The following is a 6,833-nucleotide window of genomic DNA, read 5'->3' as shown; positions in this document are numbered from 1 at the left end:
TCTCTGCCTCAGCCTCCCGAGTAGCTGGGATTACAAGGCACCCACCACCACTCCCGGCTGATTTTTTTTTTTTTTTTTGTATTTTTAGTAGCGACGGCGTTTCACCATTTTGGCCAGGCTGGTCTTGAGCTCCTGACCTCATGATCCACCTGCCTTGGCCTCCCAAAGTGCTGGGATTACAGGCGCGAGCCACCGCGCCCGGCCTTTGTTTTGTTTTTAATAGAGACGAGGTCTAACTATGTTGCCCAGGCTGGTTTTGAACTCGTGGGCCTCTCAAAGTGCTGGGATTATAGGCATGAGCTGCCACGCCAGTTTATAAAGTATTTTCACTTAGGGCCGAGGGCAGCTGTTTAACCCTGTTAGTCCCTATTTATCCTTACTATGCAGATGAATATATCGAGACAGCTTGGGACTGAGGTCTCTGCCCTTACGAAGCTGGGACTCCAGTTAAGGTTTTCTGCCACTTAAAGTGCTTTTCTCTGGCATGGTTGGTAGCTGTGGTAATGCTTTACCACTCTGTTCCTCCCCCCCTCACTTACCACTCACACAATTCCTCATTTCCTGCTTGCACAGTCCTGGGTCATTCGAGATTAATACCATTGACTTTCATTCAACAGTTGGGGAGCAATTCGGGCCAAGCACCAGGCAGCGAGTGTGCTGTGGTGGGAGAAAAAAAAAGGAGACACTCCTTCCTCTTAAGGAATGCAATGCAGCGGAGGGTGCATTTTCTAAAACGCTGCCACGGAGTTATGTGCAACCCAAATAACTACAATGCAGTGCTATTAAATGCTTTGCGAAATGCTACGTGCTAAATGGAGGTGTGTTCAAAGGAAATGACTTGATAGAAATACCAGGGACGGACCGGTGCAGTGGCTCACGCCTGTAATCCCAGCACTTTGGGATGCCAAGGCGGGCCGGTCACTTGAGGTCAGGAGTTCGAGACCAGCCTGGCCAACATGGTGAAACCCCAAATCTAGTAAAAATACAAAAAAATTAGCTTGGTGTGGTGGTAATCCCAGCTACTCAGGAGGCTGAAGCAGGAGAATCGCTTGAACCGGGGAGGCAGAGATTGTAGTGAGCTGAAATCATGCCACTGAACTCCAGCCTGGGTGACAGAGGGAGACTGTTTCAAAAAAAAAAAAAAAAAAAAACCAAGGAAGGGCTGGGAGAGCCCAGAATCGTGCAGCCTCAGGGAAAGGACCTACTTTACACATTTTATCTGGTTTGGTTCTGAGAAGGAAACCTGGAACCCTGCATTGTAGGTTTCACTTCTTATTTAACAGATGAAAGGTTCAAATTCAATGAAGGTGGGGAGAGCTGTGCTTGCCCCCACAGTAGGAGCAGCCTGTGGTTAGGTGAGGGAAGGACAGGATAACAGAAAGGGCTTTCTAGAGAATCAGTTGCGAAGCAGGGCCATGGAAATTCCTTCTATCCCTCTTAACTTAGTGTCAACAAAAAGTCTCAGTGCAGACAAACCCACTGAACTTAATTTGGGAGAAAAAGCCATGGAGAAGACCCTTTAGAATGCACTTCCAAACTAGAAACCAAACGGGGTGCCTGCAAGGGGGTCGTTCTCCTTGTCTTTAGAAAAAGGGAATCGAGAAGAACCTTTAGAATGAACCTCCGAACTACAATTAGGATCCTAAACAACCTCTTCCTAGGAGAAAAAAAAAAAAAAGCAACAGCTCACAATAAACCAAGGACCATCAACCAAACGAGAGGTCCAGGGCTCAGGAGGACTTACTAGGAGGAGAAGCTGAAAGTCGGTGAGGCCTTTATTTATTTATTTATTTATTTATTTATTTATTTATTTATTTTTGAGACAGGGTCTCTCTCTGTTGCCCGGCTGGATTCTGGGCCTGATCATCGCTCACTGCAGCCCTGGCCTCCCTGAACTCAGGCAATCTTCCTGCCTCAACCTCCGAAGAGCTGGGACTATAGGCCCGCACCACCATGCCAGGCTAATTTTTGTACGTTTTGTAGAGATGAGGTTTGGCCATGTTGCCAAGGCTGGTCTTGAACTCCTGGGCTCAAGTAATCTGCAGGGGGGGCTTTCAAGGACCCCTACTGGTACCGTAGCTCCAAATTCAGGCAACTACTTCAGGGTTCTCAGTCCTCTCTGAGGCCCCATGTGTTCAGATGCCAAATTATTGTCAATGAAGAGAGAAGACTAAACATTGTAGCTAATATATCTTTTTTTTTTTTTTTTGAGATGGAGTCTTTGCTCTGTTGCCCGGGCTGGAGTGCAGTGGCACCATCTCAGGTCACTACAACCTCTGCCTCCCGAGTTCAAGTGATCCTCCTGCCTCAGCTTCCTGAGTAGCTGGGACTACAGGTGCACACCACCATGCTCAGCTATTTTTTTGTATTTTTAGTAGAGATGGGGTTTCCCTATGTTGGTCAGGCTGCTCTCAAACTCCTCACCTCAAGTGACCCACCCACTTTGGCCTCCCAAAGTTCTGAGATTACAGGAGTGAGCCCACCGTGCCTGGCCACTAATGTATCATTTTTATCTTAATGTTTTGTTCTTTTATCCATTTGTTCCTATTAGGTATTTCTCATGGCTTTAACAGTGGACTTCAGGAGTCATGGTTAAGTAACAGGTGTGGGGCAGGTAACTGACCAAACCTCTCCTCTGAGCCTCCATTTTCTTACCTGTAGAGTGAGGATACTTACCTCCCTCCTAGGGCTGTCAGGATTAAATGAGATGGCAGGTAAAGACCTTAGCACAGTGCCTGGCGCATGGTAACTGCTCTGTCCATTTTGTCACTATAAGCTCTTCTGGTTTATTGTAAAGTATATAATGCAACCCAAGTGAAGCAAAATTCCATGAATAAAAAAAGTCATCTCATTATAGCTTGCCTCAAATTATAAAATCTCTAATAAAAATGAAGGTATGTAGTTAGTGGCAGAAGTTTGTCTACAACTAGATCTGTCCAGTGCTCAATACTCTCTACTATGTCACAAACTTCAGGACAGGGTTAAGAGGGAGACAAGGTACTGCCTGGAAGGGGAATACCTTCTGGGGTCCTGGTAAGCGATTTTTTTTTTTTTTTTTTTTTGAGATAGAGTCTTGTTCTGTTGTCCAGGCTGGAGTACAGTGGCGCCATCTCAGCTCACTGCAAGCTCCACCTCCTGGGTTCAAGTGATTGTCTTGCCTCAGCCTCTTGAGTAGCTGAGACAACAGGTAGGCGCCACCACACCTGGCTAATTTTTTTATTTTTAGTAGAGGTGGGGTTTCACCATGTTGGCCAGGCTGGTCTTGAACTTCTGACCTCAAGTGATCCACCCACCTCGGCCTCCCAAAGAGTTAGGATTATAGGCAGGAGCGCCTGGCCCTGGTAAGTAGTTTCTTGATCTGGGTGCTGGTTACACAAGTGTGTGCAGTTTGTAAAAACTCAATGAGCTGTACATTTGTGTACACTTGTCTGCTATATATTAATAACAATTTATGTATTTATTTTTGAGACCAAGTCTTGCTCTGTCACCCAGGCTGGAGTGCAGTGGTGCGATCTTGGCTCACTGCAACCTCGACCTCCCGGATTCAAGTGATTCTCTTGCCTCAGCCTCCCAAGTATCTGGGACTACAGGTGCCCGCCACCATGCCCAGCTAATTTTTGTATTTTTAGTAGAGATGGGGTTTCACTGTGTTGGCCAGGCTGCTCTCGAACTCCCGACCTCAAATGATCTGCCCACCTTGGCCTCCTAAAGTGCTGGGTTTACAGGTGTGAGCCGCCATGCCCGGCCCAATAACAATTTAAAACAAAGGGAACTGTCTCTGGATATAGTTATATAGATTCACTGTATTAAAGGATAAGAGTAAGATAAAGTCTCTGAGGGTTCACCGCTTGTCCAAACAGAAAAAACAGAAAAAAAAAATTGTGAGCCGAGTGGTGGCTCATGCCTGTTATCCCAGCACTTTGGGAGGCCAAGGTGAGAGGATCGCTTGAGCCCAGAAGTTTGAGACAAGCCTGAGCAACACAGTAAGAGACCCTGTCTCTATTAAAAAAAAAAAAAAAAAAAAAGACCGGGTGCAGTGGCTCACACCTGTGATCTCAGCACTTTGGGAGTCTGAGGCGAGTGGATTGCCTGAGCCCAGGAGTTCAAGACCAGCCTGGGCAACATAGTGAGATCCTGTCTCTATTAAAAAAAATAAATTGTGTACTACAGATTTGGCTACAATATGCATGGTTTTCCATGGGCTTTTGATTATCTGTGACATTTCAAAACTATAAGTTGTTTCATTAGAATATTGGTGGGTTGGTTTTTACAAATGTCTTCATCTGTGTGCATAACTTACATAGGTAAATACTAAGAGGGCACTGAAGTAAAAACTAACATTTATCATCTGACCAAGGAACGCGCAGGAAACCTAATCCACTATCCAGGCCAGAATCATGGGCTTCATCTGTCTCTTGCATTTCTTTTTTTTTTAGACAGAGTTTCGCTCTTGTTGCCCAGGCTGGAGTGCAATGGCAGCGTGATCTTGGCTCACTGCAACCTCTGCCTCCTGGGTTTGAGCAATTCTCCTGCCTCAGCCTCTCGAGTAGCTGGGATTACAGGCATGTGCCACCATGCCTAGCTAATTTTGTATTTTTAGTAGAGACGGGGTTTTGTCATGTTGGCCAGGCTGGTCTTGAACTCCTGACCTCAGCTGATCCGCCTGCTTTGGCCTCCCAAAATGCTGGGATTACAGGTGTGAGCCACCACGCCCAGACTGCTTCTTGCATTTCTATGAAGAGAACCAACTGGCAAATATTTCCTGAGTTCCCATCACAAGCACTGAGCTGGGTACTAGAGCTGGAGGTTCCTGGAGCTGGGAACCTCAGGATGGGTATGAACATAAAAAATGGAAGGGAGGGAGGGGGCAGGATGAAGTAGGGAGGACGTGTAACAGATCAACGTAACGAGAGTCATGGCACTGAGCTGGAGAGTGCAAGGGCCCACAGGCAGGGTCAAGTCTGCCAGGGAAGTGCAGGGAGGAGGCCTCCTGGAGGAGGTGGTGCCCAAGCTGCATCTTCAAAAATGGGCAGGCGGGCCCCGGCAAACAGGGAGGCCCGGCGTTCCAGAAAAGGGAGCAGGGTGAACAGGGGCACTGAGGCAAGGCTCAGCTGTGCATAGTGATCGGGAGCTGGCTGGGGATAAGAATGGTCAAGGGCACAGAGGTGTGATGACCAGGGCAAGGCAAGGAATGAATGTGATGAGTTTCCACAGAGGTTCCCTATGGGAAGGCCTCATCTGCTGTTGAGCAGTATGGCCTTTCTGTAGGTGATGGGGAGCCCCTCAGGGCTTAAGCTAGGTGGTAGCCGGCTCAGTTCTGCTGTGAAAGAATGCTCACTCTAGCTGCAACATGGAGAGGCAGGCATAGGGAGGTGGAGGTTACAATGAAGCTGAAAGACAGGAGGATCGCTTGAACCCAGGAGGCGGAGGTCGCAGTGACCTGAGATGGTGCCACTACACTCCAGCCTGGGCAACAGAGCACCAGCTCAAAAAAAAAAAAAAAGAAAGATATATTAGCTACAATGTTTAGTCTTCTCTCTAGCTAGTGTCAGGACAATCCACAACTGTAACTGGTCATTCCTTACATGTGACTTGTGATTGTCCTTCCTGGCCCTTTATCCCTGAAGGGTGTCCTGTCTCATAACCAGAAAGTTCAGCAGGGGCCCCATGTCCTGGGTTTGCTGTACCCATAGTCTCCATAGTCTCTCACAGATGGCCTTGGAGATTACCAAATGGAGGGCGGTTCTAGCCTCCCTGCTCCCTGGCCCAGTTAAGCTATTTCAGATCTTTGGACAAAATCTCACTTTTGTCCTTTTTCCTTTTTCACCCTCTTGATAAAATATCCCACAGCCATATGGGAAATGGAAGTAGAATTGCCGGGAAGCAACCAGGAAGGAAGTAGTGGTGGCGCATGCCTGTAATCCCAGATACTCAAGAGGCTGAGGCAGGAAACGGAAGTAAAATTGCCGGGAAGCAACCAGGAAGGGCTGTGGCAGCTGCCAGGCAAAGGTCTGAACTCTGCCAGGGGCTTTGAGGCTGGGAATGCTGAGTAGGGAGGCAGAATGTGCACGCTGTGGTTCCCGAATGAATGGCTCTGAGGGAGGAAGGCATCTTGGATGATCCCAGGTTTTGGGATTGGGTGAGGCAGGATAGGTGGCGGTGCTACTCACAAAGAGGAAAGGCAAGGAGAGGCAGTCAGGGGACATGCTGAGTTTGAGATTCCAGGAACAACTTCAGCAGGTGAGTAGGTGGCAGGAAGAAGCCAAGAGAGACTTGAAATCAAGACAGGAAAGAGCTGATGGGGCAAGGTCCTGATCCTGGAGAAGTGGAGGGGAAGCTCCGGGTGGAGGTTACTATGAAGCTGAAAGCATAGCTCCAGGCTGAGCGTAGAGGTGAGAGGCTGAGGGAGCGCAGAGAGTTTGTTGGCCTGGAGGTGGGAAACAGCGGGAGTTCACACCTGACGGGTTCAGGGTTCTCAGATGTGAGCTGAGCCTGGGAGCTGACATTCTGAGAATGGCCAAAGGGTACACAGCCATTGTGGGGACTGGGAAAGGGAAGTGACGAAAGTCAGGTAAAAGACTTGCAGAGGTGGACCAGAGGGCCACGTTGAGGGTGAAGCAATTGTGTTTTTGGTTATGTTTTGCTTTTTTTTTTTTTCTCTTTTTCTTTTCCTTTTGAAGACAGAATCTTGCTCTCTCACCCAGGTTGGAGTGCAGCGGGGCGACCTCGGCTCACTGCAACCCCTGCCTCCCGGGTTCAAGCGATTCTCCTGTCTCAGCCTCCAGAGTAGCTGGAACTACAGGCGCCTGCCACCACGCCCAGCTACTTTTTGT

This window comes from Homo sapiens, chromosome 15 (genome assembly GCF_000001405.40).
Source record: "Homo sapiens chromosome 15, GRCh38.p14 Primary Assembly".
Classification (NCBI taxonomy): Eukaryota; Metazoa; Chordata; class Mammalia; order Primates; family Hominidae; genus Homo; species Homo sapiens.
Note: the sequence above shows the minus strand (reverse complement) of the source record.